Below are 15,177 nucleotides of genomic sequence, written 5' to 3' on the forward strand. Positions count from 1 at the left end.
GATCTTTCCACTAAAGAAAAACAAGTATTACCCATGGAACTGTGCACTATGAACTCAGGTAGATCAAGATCTGTACTTAAAAACTCTCTGGTGCTATAGTTACAACTCCAAATTCAGCTCCATCTCTTTGCTTTTGAGAATATTTGAAAATTATATTCCAGAACAAATCAAGTAAAATATTGGATAAATCACTTCTAAGTCAGATTCAGAGTATCATAGCTTCTAAAAGCAACAGCTTTTGAAAATCAATTCCTGTATATATAAATATATATATATTTATTTATAAAATACGTTTTATATATATATATATATATATATATAACAATGTTATATAGAGAAAAGACTCACATACAGATCTTCCCCTAAAATCTTAGAGTATGAAATCATTTCAAAATGTAAAGCTTGAAATCTGGCTTGCTCTGACATCTTAATGTGCTGTTAAGACAGTAAGTATGACAAAAACCTTGTTGAAAACAAAATTCATAATAATACCTCCCACTAATGGTGATTTCGTCCACTGCATAATATCTGTGTCTGAGGTTAACAGCAGTCTCAGTTGTATAGTACTGCCCATGAAAATGAAACCTTATTTGCGTGGCTTTTACGAACTCTTGAAGAGATGGGGTATTATAGAAGTTATTGTATCCAGGACGATAATTTGGTCCAGGTGTCAGGATGCTAAATGTGACATTGCCACGGGAATATGGAGTAAAACTGTTAATGAAAGAAATTCGATGTCATGAAAATCTATTCACATTTTTGGCAAAACAGAAATCAAAATGTTGAGAAATTACTACACAGTATCAATAAAAGCTTAAATTATTCATTCTAGGAAAAGCATATTCCATATATTTCATATATAAACAATACAGGATTATCATAGAAAGCCACACTAAAACAGTTCCTTGAAAACATAATGAAAATTCTATTTACATAGATAACTTGCCAAACAATCTGAAAATCAGATTGTGAAACATCAGTGAGATTGAAATAAGAGTCACTCTAATGTCTTTTACAAGAACTTTAAACATAGTTTTAAGCCCAATTTAGGGATAAGACTTAGGAGAATCTGCCTCAAGGAAGTTGGTGGTGAAGGGAAGTCTCCACCAGCCTAGAGAGCTAGCATACTTGTACATTATTAATAACCAATCAGTCTATTAAATTAATTGTTTAAAAATATTCATACTTGGAAAGCTGAAGACAGTTGACAGAATCAGGTTTTTCCAAATCTCCATTGTTTTTCATTCCAAAAGCACCACAATTCCTGGCAAAATATTGCCAGTCCTCCCAATCTAAACTATTTTCCTTCTTCCTTTGAATCCTTATTTCCGTTGGTTGTGGACTAAAGAACTGAATGATAATATAAAACACCTGAAAATGGAAAGTTAATTAATGTAATTAAAGTTTTAAGTTTAACCATCAGTATATATCAAACCATGGAATTATTAGATTCAAATATATTGGCTCACTTCATCATAATTATAGTTATCAAATATGTATTAGACATCCAGAAACTTCATAGCCCTGTGGTAAAAGCAACATATTCTATAATTGTGTATCTGTTCATTTGCTCAAGGATTTTATAAATCAACATGCAAATAAAGACATAAACAAAGAACATTACTTCTATGAAATAAATGTCATATATAGAGACTTCTTAATTTAGAAAAAGCACCTTAGTTTGTATTAATTTTTGCTACTTAATAAAAATAATTATTTTCAACATTTCATAAATATCATTTTGATACAAATCTCAAACATAAGGTCCTACATGTTGTCTTTTAGATATTTTTATTGTATACATTATAATACACTACTTTATTGAGGCAAGGTTCAATTGCCTAGTTCAGTTTTCACCTTGTAGTGGGTTGAATTGTGTTCCCAAATAGATATGTCCAAGTACTACTGTCCAAACCTGTAAATGTGACTTTATTTGTAAATAGGGTCTTTGCAGTATAATTAAGGATGTCAATATGAGATCATCCTGGGTCTAATAGGGTGGGCCTTATATAAGAGAAAGAAAAGGGATAATTGATGCTCACAGAGAAACAAGGAAGGACACCATGTGAAAATGGAGGCAGAGATTGAAGTTGTGGTGCCACAAGCCAAGTAACACCAAGGGCCACCAGGAGCTGCAAATGGCAAGGAGGGATCCTCCTCTGGAATCTTTAAGGGAATGTAGCCCTGCCAACATGTTGATTTCATATTTCTGATCTCCAGAACTGTTAGGGAATATATTTCTGTTGTTTTAAGACATGAAGTTTGTGGGCATTTGTTGCAATAACCACAGGAAATTAATGTACACCTTATCGTTTCTCATTACCTGATACTGTCCATTTTCCAAATCAACTGAAATAGTCACTCCTTGATTAAGCTGTGTAATGTTTGTAAACACATTTGAAACCCATGAAGTACCAACATCATTATCATTGACAAAAGAGAGAGGATGGGCTTCAGGATTCAACCGTGACACTCTATTATCAGCTGTGTCTCCTGCATCATTAGGAATGCAGTACCGCTGTGCCAAAGGGTGGACCCGCGGGTGGCTGCCAGGGCAACGGCAATGTGATTGGGCATGCAATCTGAGAAGATCTCCAGAGAAGACTTCCAGAATCTCTCTGTGGGAGTCAAGAGGGAGACTGTAAGGACAAAGAGCTTAACAGTAATAGAACTTCTAGGAGTCGTTACAAATGAATGTCACTCGTTTAGTGCTTTCATGAGTATCCATTTAGTTTTAATAATTTGATGCATGAAACATAAAATAAAACTTATTTTTGGCCAAATAAACAAATTCATTATCATAAAATGTATATCAAAACCCACACATTTTAATATTAACTTTTTATTTATATCAAGAAGCATGCATAAGCCCTTGTCTGATTATTAAGATACTTATTTAAATACCACAATATTTTACCGTGTCTATTTGTGATAATATAGAAATGATCACATTTACTTAGGATGCTAAACTAACTACTGAGAGTGAACAATAATATATGGAGAACAATGAGAGTTATAGATAATGTTTTCAGTTCATCCATGGGAAAGAAGTACGAAAGCAAGTATCATTTTATCTGCTTCTGTTTTAAGTGAAGGACTGAGGCCAAGGCCATTTGTCAATGGTTTCCTGTGACTCATCAGTACAGATCCTGACATCCTGTAATGCTTCATTGGCTTCAGATCATATGGCGGCTGCCAACAGTCAAAGAATGCCAATTCCAGGTAGATATATTTAATTTTTCCATTAGGGGCAATATACTTGTTCTAGACCAGAATTAGTCATTCTATTTATAGGCATTCTTCCACATAGCACCTTCCCAGACATTTCAGGTAGGCCAAAATTAGTAATCAAGGTCTTACCAGAGAAACCAGGCTTTTCCTCTCAGACCCCAGTGGAGCAGTGAAGGAGTCAGGCAGCTTTTCCATTCATTAAATCACATGAAGTCATACCTTCTTTAAATCTCATCAATTCTTTTCAACTGATACCAAGTTTTGAATGGGACCAAAAGCTACCAGTATAGAATCCAGTATAAAATCTTTCACTCCCAAGGAAAAACTTTATTCCCAAAGAATTACTACAACATTGCCCTTCAGCATTTTAGACAAAGGTGATCTAAAATATAGTAAGGCTTTTGGCAGTAAATACACCTAACACTGTGTTCCAGGGCCATGGCACCCTTTACTGAGGCATACCTTGATTATATAGCCTGGTAAGAAAGAATGTTTATATTGTTAATGATCTGCCATGGACTAAGAACCACATCAAAAGCAATGCTTCTAAATTTACAAGGGCTAGTCTTCTCATTTGGAAACCCACCACACTAATTTATATCTGCCTTGAAGAAATATGAATGAACATTCTTCTTTTTGATTTTTAATAGAAGTAAATAAGATCAACTCATCCATACAACAATATACTATTATACCATGATATCATAAGCTGAAGAAGAAAGTTCAAAGGCATCCTAAGCAGAATTTCACTTAAATTTTTTAAAATTCTGTGTGCTTTTAAGAAGCCCTAAGAAAGATTTCCCATCTACTCTCAAGATAAGGAAATAATGTCATTAAAGCTAGCCTGAGTCTATATAATTATTTGTTCACTGAAAATAGAAAAATATATCACAATACTTCAAATGCTCATTCTTCTTGTCTCCAAGTCTAATAGATCAGTCTCTTGAGAATTTCCCATGTATCAAAATAATTAATCACGTTTATTGTTCTACATTCTCTAGTAGGTATAAAGTCAACAAACCAATTTAAAAAAGGCAGATGTAGAAGTTTCTCAAGTATTGTTAATAGAAACTACCTCATATAGAAAATTTAAGCATTGTATCCCAAGTTTTATAAAATGTTCAAATATCAAGTTTTCTTACAGAATATCCTTAGGAAAAATGTGATCAATTTCATATTACAAGGAGTTCCTCAAGAGTAGCACTAGTGAATAACAACCATAGACTAAGCCAAAGCAAACACTGTAAACATTAATTAGGTGAAGTTTGCCAAATGGTATAAAGATAAAAAATGGTATAATCTACATAGTATTCTTATTTAAGTGAATTCAGCATTTATCCTTTCGGTTCTTGAGGTTTACAATGCAACATCTGCTTACCTGTTTGTAAGTGCCACTTGGTATAATCGAAAATCTTGCATTCTTCCGACAAACTGCTCTAAACCTGCAAATACACACATGTGCATAATATAAGAAGTCTCTGTTTACCAAGCAATACCTGACAAGTATTTAAGTGATATTCCTTTGAAGATGTTAAGGTTAAAAAGATATTTATGTCACTGCCCTTTGAAACTTTTACAGATCAATCTCTAGTTTGCTAATTCCACATTAATAACAAAAATAATCATAGTTATCTCCATGGACACTGTAGGACTTAAGTCAAAGTGAATACTTTGGCCAGCCTATTTACTGATCGAACTCATGGCTTTCTCCAGAAGTCCCTTCCCAAGTCAAATTTCTCTCTAGTTTATAACTCCATAGATATATTATCTCATCAGCCCTAAATTTGATTGTCATCTGCTTCTGATTGCAATTTCCAGAGTATTTGCAATGCCAAAAGGAAGATTCCTCACTCTCACATCCCACCTGTTATAGCTCCAAGCTCCAGGCTATCTGTTTGGGTTCTCTCTAAAGTTAAATTAATGTCTGTTCTAGAAAATCTCCAAATGAGGACTCATCGAAGACTTCCTACTTGTAGGTTCTGTGTCATTCACATATATCAATAGTATCATAGTTCACTCTCAGAATTTTATTGCCTCAGGGAAAATCTTCTAAGAAAACCAGGTTCAAAGACCAATCTACTTTGAATTAGGTGACCTTTCAAGGCAAATGTAGCTATCAACCTTAATCCACATGGTATTATTTTATTTGTTTGGCAAATATTTTTTCAGAACTTACTGAGACAAATAAGCCCAAGAGAGTGGAGACAGAATAAAGCAGAAAAACTACCGACTCCAAGTTTTTTGTTATATTTTTAATAACAAAATTTATTTCAATAATTGTTTATTTCAATAGTTCTAAAAAAATAAAATTGGAGCAATTTTAATCATCAAATGACCATTTTCCCAATGTGTTTTTTCTTTTAACTATTCAGTTTTCACTCTGTCTTGATAGAGTTTTAAAGAATGTTTGATTTATGTTTTCTGCTGCTCCTTGGTGGTTGCTTGGAGGAAACTGGGACAGAGTGAGGATATGGCTGATAAATAAAACATGGAGAGGAGAATTAGCACACGAAGTAGTCTGAGATAGTGATCTCAGAATCAGGAAGAAACTCACAAGCAAAGTGTGAGACTTAGGAGCCTAAAAAGAGTATGTGTCTGTGTGTGAGTGTGTGTATGCATATATTTGTGTATATTCATATATTTACATGTTATATTTATATTAAATAATATATTTGAGAAAATAACCAAAATATTACATATAAAAATATTTCTTCATTAGTGTATTCTCAGCTGATGTAGTCTAAGAAAAATACACTTATAGGCTCTCTCTTTCTACCCATTAGTCTCAGTCTTCCACATACCCCATGAGCTGAGGCCCACAAGAAGATGTGCTCTAGGCAGCCTCCTGCTCTGACTTTCCCGTAGGGAGAGTTTCTCTACTCTATCTATCCTAAAACAGGCAGCTGGCACAAGTGCAAAGAATTATTCCTCCAAGTGGTGTTATGAAGACAAAACTAAATCTACTAAAACTTTGCAGAAATCTTTAGAAGATTTCCAACACAAATTGTTCTAAAATTTATAATTAGTTACAAGAAATAAGAAAACATGGTAAAATATTCTTTCAGTTAATTGGCCATCCAGGCAACATGATTTATGATCAATTGACCTGGATCCAGGATCTAAAGTTAAACAAAGAGGGAATGGTAGAAAGATGGACATGTCATTCTTAGAAGAAAGATGAGAAGAATACATGCAAATACAGCAAAGCCATTGTGTGCCTATGCTTTTATTTGGGGAATAGGAAAGACGAATAGGAAAGTCACTCCTCATAGCATAAATTTTATTTATGAGGTAAGAGATAATGTTGTCAAGGAAGCTGGGCCTGTGTCCCGTTTTTTCTTTACCTTCAACTATCCCTAACCATGCTCAGTTCTTCCTCTCCTAGCATCCTTTACACCCCACACTGTTAATCTACAGCATGAATTTTTAATGCCCCACAACCTTCAGGCTCTCTCAGCCCTAAGGTTCCCATTTTGCCTCTGCTTCCAATTTTTCTGCCTCATACAGCCCCTAATGTCTCAGCTTTGAAATACTCCTTGTGGGGAACTTTCTGTGCCCCGCTATAGTCCTAGGCATTCTCTTTCTGGGAGAAGCCACCCAGTTTGCAGTACTTTTGCATGGCAGCCGTGGAAAACTGACAGTCTTCATTTCCTATTTTTGCCAACATAATGAGATATCAAGGAGAAAAAAAGAAATTACCTGCATTTCATGTTATCCAATTTGCTTTCTCAGGATAAAATATTGTCTAAAATATTTTATATAACCTCTAGGGAAGTGTTTTATCTCAAAGAACCCAGATCATAACAAACAGGGGCTAGCCATTCATAATTTTGAAAGACTTACCATAACTGAAAGACAGCAAAACTGATGAACACTGTGATGTTGCTAAAGCCTGAACCATGGCTTTAAATGTCAGGGTGGCTTCATTCTTTTACGTATTGATTCATTCACAAGTATTTATTGGAAGCCTATTATGTGCCAGGCACTTTCACGAGTGCCAAAAGTACAATCAGTTAACAACAACAACAAAATACCCTTGCTTTTATGGAGCTTGCATTCACGTAGATAAACATAATGAATGAGAAATTCATATAGTATATTAGAATGCAATACATTTTATGAAAAACAGAAGGATTAGAGCAGGTTGGAGAGCATGGCTAGATTTTAGTGGGGATGTTATGTCCAAGAGAGGCCTCATTGAGAATGTGGCATTGACAGGGGAATGGGAATGAGTCATACGTATATCTAGGGGCAAAATGTTCCAGGCAGGCATTAATAAGCACATAGACCTCTAAATCAGTATGCTTGGCATGTTAGAGGAGGTGCAAGGAGCTAGCATCCTGGAGCAGAATAAAAGGGGGGAGGTTATTAGAAGGTTAGGTCAGACAAGTAGCTGGCTGGGGGAGAGGGGAGGATGGAGGTACAAATTGTTATATATACAAAGTCTAATAGCCTACTGTAAGAAATTTGATTTCTGGTCTGAGTAAAATGGGAAGCCATTGGAGGGTTTTGAGAAGAGGAGTGATGTGATCTCAGGATTATTCAAAAGTTCTGAGACTAGAATATAGGAAGATAAGAGTAGAAGCCAAGAGGCCAGTTAGGAGGATATTACAGTCATATGTGTGAAAAATGTTGGCAGTCAGACCAGGGTATTAGAAGTGGAGGTGTACCTTTCAATGCTGATAAATTAGAATTCACTCCCTATATTTTAATAATAGCTAAAGGGAAGCTCTGCTGCAGGGGGATAATGAAATCTATTTTATTATCTATAAAATAAAGGGGCTGGGTTTTATAACCTTTAAAAACCATTTTAGTTTTAAATTTTGGAGCTTGCAATCATATCCATTGCTAAAGAATTCATATTTGAAGAAATTCTTCATAAAAAAGAGTTACAGCAAGTTTTCTAAAGACCTAGAGTTAATGTGAATCATCCATCCCAAATAAAAGAATTATGATTTGAGGTGAGAATACTATCAAATATTTCAAGGACAGCCATAGAAATAAATTTTACTTATTCCTTTGCTACTTGCCAATTTTTTAACAACAGATATTCATTGGGATAAACATTCCATAAAAATTCTTCTTTGAAAAATATTCATATGGCAAAGATATGTCTAAATTATATAAATTGATCAAGGAAATAGACATGACTCATACAAGAAAGACCTCATAGCTGTCTAGTCAGAAAATAGACAGGTGATGACTGGAAAGAAGTTGTTATGCATTACAACTGGGTGGCACAACAAAATTAGTCAAATGGGAAAACTAAGTAATCCAACATATAAATCAGGGTAAAAACAGATAATAAGGCTAAGTAACAAATGTCACAACAATCAGAAGGAAAGAAATAAACTCTCATTTGCAGATAGCATAATTATCTACTCAGAAAATTTCCATGACTGTACATAAAAGCTATTAGAAATAACAAGTGAATTAGTTAATTTTGTTTGATAGAAGTTAAATGAGTAATAATTTAATTTCTATATACTAGTGATTAACCAATGGAAATTAAAACTTTTAAATACTATTTTATTAGCACTGAAAATGTGAAATATTAGTTATAAATCTATTAAAGCAAGGCAATGTATATAGGTAAAAACTATAAGACATTGAGGAAACGAATAAAAGGACATCAGCAATGGCAGAGTGAAAACAATGGAAGAGTCTGTCTTCCATAAAAGCAATGGGAACACTGGCAAAGAATATCACATCAACTTATTGAGAACTCTGGAAATAAAGCAAAGACTTGCAACAATGTGGACAGTGTTTATTTTTTAAATGACTGAATATTGGTAAGAACAACATGTTCTATGGCATTTTAGCTTTCCTATTCCCGTACTCCTCTCTGCCACTCTCTGGAAGCCCTGAAAATGAACAGTTTGCAATCAGGGTGAAAACCAGCAGCCTAGTTACTGCTAGAGGATCAGAATGGGAGTGGAGCTGTTTCAAAGCTCTATCCTCAGATGATTGTCATTATTCGATCTGCCTGGAAGTACCATGGAAAGCCCCACTAGTAAGGCTTGAATTGACTCAGAGTTCATCCACTGGAAACAGCATTTACTCTGTTTGTTTAAAACAATTATTTGCTAAAAATAATCACTGGCAACTGCTTAACATTGCAGTTGACCCAGGCAGTAACAACAGTCAGAAGAAACAACAAACAATCCAAAATACTTAAAAGGAGAAGATGTGAAACATCATGTCCATAAACGCTTTGCAAATCCTTAAAAAATGCCTGCGAATCTACAAGATTATGAACATGCAAAAGGCTAAGTATGTGCTCAGGTATATGCGCATGCTAAAGAAAGACCTGAGAAAGTCCTAAGGTCTCACCTCAGCTCGACTTTGAGGCTCTGCACAAGCAGGAAGTGGGGACTAAAGGAGAGTGTTAAACTGCCTCAGTGTTGATGGCATTCTGCAACATGCGTACAGATCTCTCACCAGAGACTGGAAAATGTATTGGTTCTAGGCATTTAAGAAATTCTCTGTTCAGTCATTGCCTGACTACTAAGATGAGCAAACAATGACTTCATTTATCACATATGACAAAGAAACAGACTTCACAGAATTAGCTCAGGAAAGCCACTAAACAAGCAAACAGTAGTAATAGTGACAAATAGCAGCAACAAAACAACTCTGGAAAGGGAAATAATCTGATTTCCAGATTTGCTACACTATGTGTTTAAAATGTCTGGTTTTCAACAAAGAATATGGCATATGCAAAGAAACTCCTACAAACAATATACAGGGGAAGAAAAATGGGCAATGGAAATGGGTCAATTGTAAGCTCATACATTAAACTTACCAGACAAAGACTTTAAATCAACTATTTTATATATGTTCAAATAACTAAAAACAAAACAAAACAAAGTGTCCAAAGAACTAAAGCAAAGTATGACAATGATGCTTTAGACAATATAGAATATGAGAAAAGAAATAGAAAATTTTTAGCCAGGCATGGTGGCTCATGCCTGTAATCCCAGCACTTTGGGAGGCTGAGGTGGGAGGATCACGAGCCCAGCAGTTTGAGACCACCCTGGGAAACGTAGTGAGACCTCATTTCATCAAAAAAAGAAAAAATAAATAGAAAATAGAAAACTTTCAAATGAAAAATTCACTAGAGGAGCTCACTAGCAGATCTAAATGATCAGAAGAAATAATTAATGAACTTGAATACAGGTCAATTGAGATTATTCAGTGTGAGCAATAGAAAGAGAAAGAATGTTGAGAAATTAACAAAGCCCCAGAAAGCTGTGGGACGCCATCAAGAGTACCAGCATAGGCATAATGGGAGTTTCAGAGAAGAGGTAAAAGGACTGAAAGAATATTTAGAGAAATAATTACCAAAAACTTCCAAAATTTGATGAAAACTATTAATCTATGCATCCAAGAAGCTCAATGAACTGCAAGTGGGATAAATTCAAATAGATCCACACCCTAGGCACATTAAAAATCAAACTGTTGAAAGACAAAGACAAAGAGAAAATCTTGAAAGCAGCAAGTGAGAAAAGGCCATCTCCTACATGGGATCTTCAATAAGATTAACCACAGATTTCTTGTGAAGAAACCATGGCGTCCAGAAGGGAGAAGAATGACATATTTAAAGTCGTAAAAAAAAACTGTACACCAAAAACTATTTTTTCTAGCAAAACTCTCCTTCAAAAATGCAGGATAAATTGACATTTCCAGATAAAGAAATATTGAGAGGTTTTATCACTATCAGACTTGCTCTACAAGAAATACCAAAAGAAGTCCTTCTGGCTGATATGATAGGATATTAGAGAGCAATGTAATCCAGATGAAGAAATAAAGAGTACCTGTAAAGGTAATTAAATAGGTAAATATTTAAAAAGATTATAAATGTATTTTTACTGTAATTCTTTTTCTCTCTCACATTTGTTTTAAAAGATGACTTTATAAAGCAATAATTATATATCTGTGTTGATGGGCATCCAATGTAAAAAATCTCCATAGACAATAACGGCACAAAAGAAAGCAGAGTGAACAAAAACTATATAGGTGCAAAATTTTGCATACTCTTAAAATTAAGTTGGTATTAATTTGAATTAGATTTTTATGAATTAAGATGTTAATGATAACATCCTGGGCAACAAACATAGTAGAATAAATGACAAGGGTATTAAATTATACACTAGAAGATAACTTTTTAACCCAAAGAAGACAGTGAAAGAATAGAGAAATTTAGAAGACATAAATCATATTTTAAAAAACCAACAGCAAAGTGACATTGTAACTACCTTATCAGTCACTGTGCTAAATGTAAATGGCTTAAGCACTTCAATCAAAAAGTAGATATTTACAAAATGGAAAAACAAACAAACATGACCCCCTATAGGAGTTCTGCAAGAGACAAACTCTACATTCGAGGAAACAAATAGATTGAATGTTCAAGAATGAAAAGAAAGATACACCACGTAAACAATAACCAAAAGAGAGCTTGAGCTCCTATGCTAACATCAGACAAAATAGACTTTAGACAAAATTTTTAGTAGAGACAAGAATATTTTAAGATATCAATCCATCAGGAAAATAAAACAATTATAATCATGTATGTGTCTAACAACAGTAAAATGACAAATTTAAAGATTTAAAGAGAAAAATTCACCATTTAACAACAATAGTGGAGACTTCAATATCCTACTTTCAATCATGGAGAGAGCAACTACACAGAATACAAACAGAAATGGAAGACCTGAATGACTTTATAAACCAATTAGACTTAATAGACACCAACAGAACACTCCACCCAACAACAACAGAATACAAACTCTTCTCAAGTGCATATGGTACATTCTCCAGGATAGATTATATGTTAGGCCATAAAACAAGTCTCTATAAATTTAAAATAACTGAGATCATGCAAAGTATATTCTTGGATCACAATAGAAAAAATTAGAAATCAATAACAGAAGCAAATTTGTAAAATTAACAAATGTGTGAAAATTAACCCATTCCTAATAACTAATGATCAAAGAAGAAATTACAAAAAGATTTAAAAATCCTTTGAGATTAATGGAAGTGAACATGCAACATATCACACTTTATGGGATTTAAGTAGTGTTTAAAGTGATATTTAGAGCTGTAAACACTTATATTTAAAGAGAAATTTATTAAATCAATAACCTAATCTTCTACCTTAAGAAACTAGAAAAAGAAAAACAAACTCAACCTAAAGCTAGCAGAAGAAAGGAAATTATAAAGATTTGAGCAGACAAATAAAATAGAGAATAGAAAAACAACAAGAAAAACAACAAAAGTTGATTGTTAGAAATTATTAACAAATTTGACAAACATTCAACTAGACTAGCCAAGAAAAGAGATGACTCTAATGATTAAAATCAGGAATTAAAAAAGGGAAATTACAACTGACTTTGCAGTCACAAAAAAGGATCATAAGGGATACTATGAACAACTGTATGCCAAAAATTAGACAACCTAGATAAAATAGACAAATTCCAAGAAACACACAAACTATGTAAACTGACTTAAGAAGAAATTAGCAATCTGAATAGATCTATACCACTAAAAGAGATCAAATTAGTAATTTTTTAAAAATTTCCACAAAGAAAAGCTTAGGACCAGATGCTTTCATTGGCGAATTCTACCAAACATTTAAAGAAGAAGTAGCACCATTACTTCACAAGCCCTTCCAAAAAATAGAAGAGGAAGAAACACTCTCCAAATTACTCTATGAAACCAGTATTACCCTAATACCAAAAACATCAAAGACATCAAAAGAAAACTATAGGCCAATATGCCTTATGAATACAGATGCAAAAGTCTTCAACAAAATTCTAGTGAACCAAATACAGTACTAACAAAAAGGATCATACATCATGAGCAAGTGGAATTATCACAAGGATGCAAGGCTGGTTCAATGTACGAAAAGTAATCAAGTAATACACAAACTTGGAAAAATAAAGGACAAAAACGTCATGATCATCTTAATAGCTACATAGTCAAAGTTAACACTTCATGATAAAATTTTTAAAAAGCAACTAACTATTAAAGAAGACAACTTCCTCATCTAATAAAGGGTATCTGTGAAAAACCAACAGCTAACATCATATTTAGTGGTGAAAAAATGCTTTTTCCCTAAGATCAGGAACAAGATAACAATGTCCACTTTTGCCACTTCTAGTCAACATTTTTCTGTAGTTACCAGACAGGGCAAATAGGCAAGCAGAAGAAATAAATCTTTCCATATTGAAAAAGTAGAAGTAAAACTATCTCTTGTACATAGAAAACTCTAAGAAATCTACTAAAATCTATTAGGAATTATAAATGAGTTCAGCAAAGTTGCAAGTTGCAATATCAATACATGAAAATCAATTGCATACCTACTGCATTTCAGTAGCAATGAAAATGCTGATAATAAAATCATACACAGTCCACTGTATTTTAACTAAGTGGCAAAGAAAATTAAATGGAAAAAGAATACTCTTCTTTCCAAGAACGGTCCTGGAATATTGGATATCTTATGTTTTTTAAAGCACCTGAAAACATATCATGCACCTTATGTAAAAGTTTAACTCAATATGGATAATAGAACTAACCTAAAACTATAATATAGCTAGAAAAAATTACAGGAAAATTCTTTGTGACCTTGACTTGGGCAAAAATTTCTTTGACAAACAACAAAAACACAATCATACAAGAAGAAATATAATCGTGGCATTGGATTGGATAACTTCGACAAATTTCTTTAGGAAAGACCCTGATGAATTGATTCAGATTTCCTTAGGAACAAGGTAGAAGTTGAAAGAGCTGAATAGTCTGTGGGCATCAAATGTCTACAATTCACAGTCACAAGTAAGAGCTACCAGAAATATTACAACAAAGAAATGTCCAGAAATAGCAGCCAGAGACAGATCTTAGGATATGCATCAAAGTACTCTAAGTATTTTAGGGGAAAAGTGTTTTAAAATATCTTAATATTAATGATGACAATGACAGCTAATAACTATTGCATACTGAGTAGCAGGCCCTGTTCTGTGTGCTTTATGTATATTATTTTATTTAATCCTCATAAAAACACTATGGAAAGATATTCTTTTGATGCTAATTTTAAAGATGAGGAAACTGAAGCATATAGATATTAAGAAATTTGCCCAAGGTAAAACAGGTCATAAATGGGAGAGCTGAAACATGTTCTCAAGGACATTAAGAGAAAGGAAAACGACAGGACCAATCTCACTTGGTAGCATAGGCATGAAAATTATATCTCAACAAATTAAATCTGCCATGTCTTGAAAAATACATAATATACAAGTAGAAAACCCTAAACAATTAGGAATAGGTGGGAAAGTTTTTAACGTGATATGGCAAACATCTTATTTAAAGGAAAAAATGTAAAGCCATTTCCATTAAAGCAATGACAAGTTGAGGATGCTTGCTCTCACTGCTTTTTTTTCCAAGATTGTTAAAGGAATGTCTAGACCTCACAATCAGACAAAGAAAAGAAGTAAAATCCATAAGAATTAGAATGACATAAATATATTATTTGCAAATTACATGGTTTTCTACCTCAACAATTCAAATAAATCTATAGTCAAATATTCGAATTAATGTGTTCCAAAATGGTGTTGGAAATAAGAATGATATATAACAATTTATAATATTTCTTTATATCAGCAATAAATATAAAATGCAATTTAATAAAAGATACTATTTACAATAGCACCAAAACCTTGAGATACCTAGGAATAAATTTTATATTTATCCCTTTTATTATAAGTTATGAGTATTTTATTTATAGAAATTTACTAAAAGACATAAAAGAAGATCTAAATAAATAGAATGATATACTATGATCATGGATGAAAAAAATCAGCATAACAATATAAATTATCCCTAAGCTGTTGTATAAATTTAATTCAATTCCAATAAAAAATCTCAATAAACATTTTTATATAAACTGATCCT

The 15,177-nt window shown here is 33.3% G+C and overlaps 1 protein-coding gene across 2 annotated transcripts in view; it reads right to left on the minus strand.

Annotated features, from left to right (window-relative positions):
- Window positions 1-15,177, minus strand: part of USH2A (usherin) — an 800,558-nt gene that overhangs the window by 700,091 nt on the left and 85,290 nt on the right. For both annotated transcript variants that reach the window (NM_206933.4, NM_007123.6), the window contains exons 5-8: window positions 4,610-4,673; window positions 2,324-2,618; window positions 1,187-1,371; window positions 493-714 (exon numbers count right to left, since the gene is read on the minus strand). In NM_206933.4, the coding sequence (NP_996816.3) occupies window positions 493-714; window positions 1,187-1,371; window positions 2,324-2,618; window positions 4,610-4,673 (766 nt within the window). The remainder of the gene's footprint in view (window positions 1-492; window positions 715-1,186; window positions 1,372-2,323; window positions 2,619-4,609; window positions 4,674-15,177) is intronic.

Source organism: Homo sapiens, chromosome 1 (assembly GCF_000001405.40).
Source record: "Homo sapiens chromosome 1, GRCh38.p14 Primary Assembly".
NCBI classification, from domain to species: domain Eukaryota; kingdom Metazoa; phylum Chordata; class Mammalia; order Primates; family Hominidae; genus Homo; species Homo sapiens.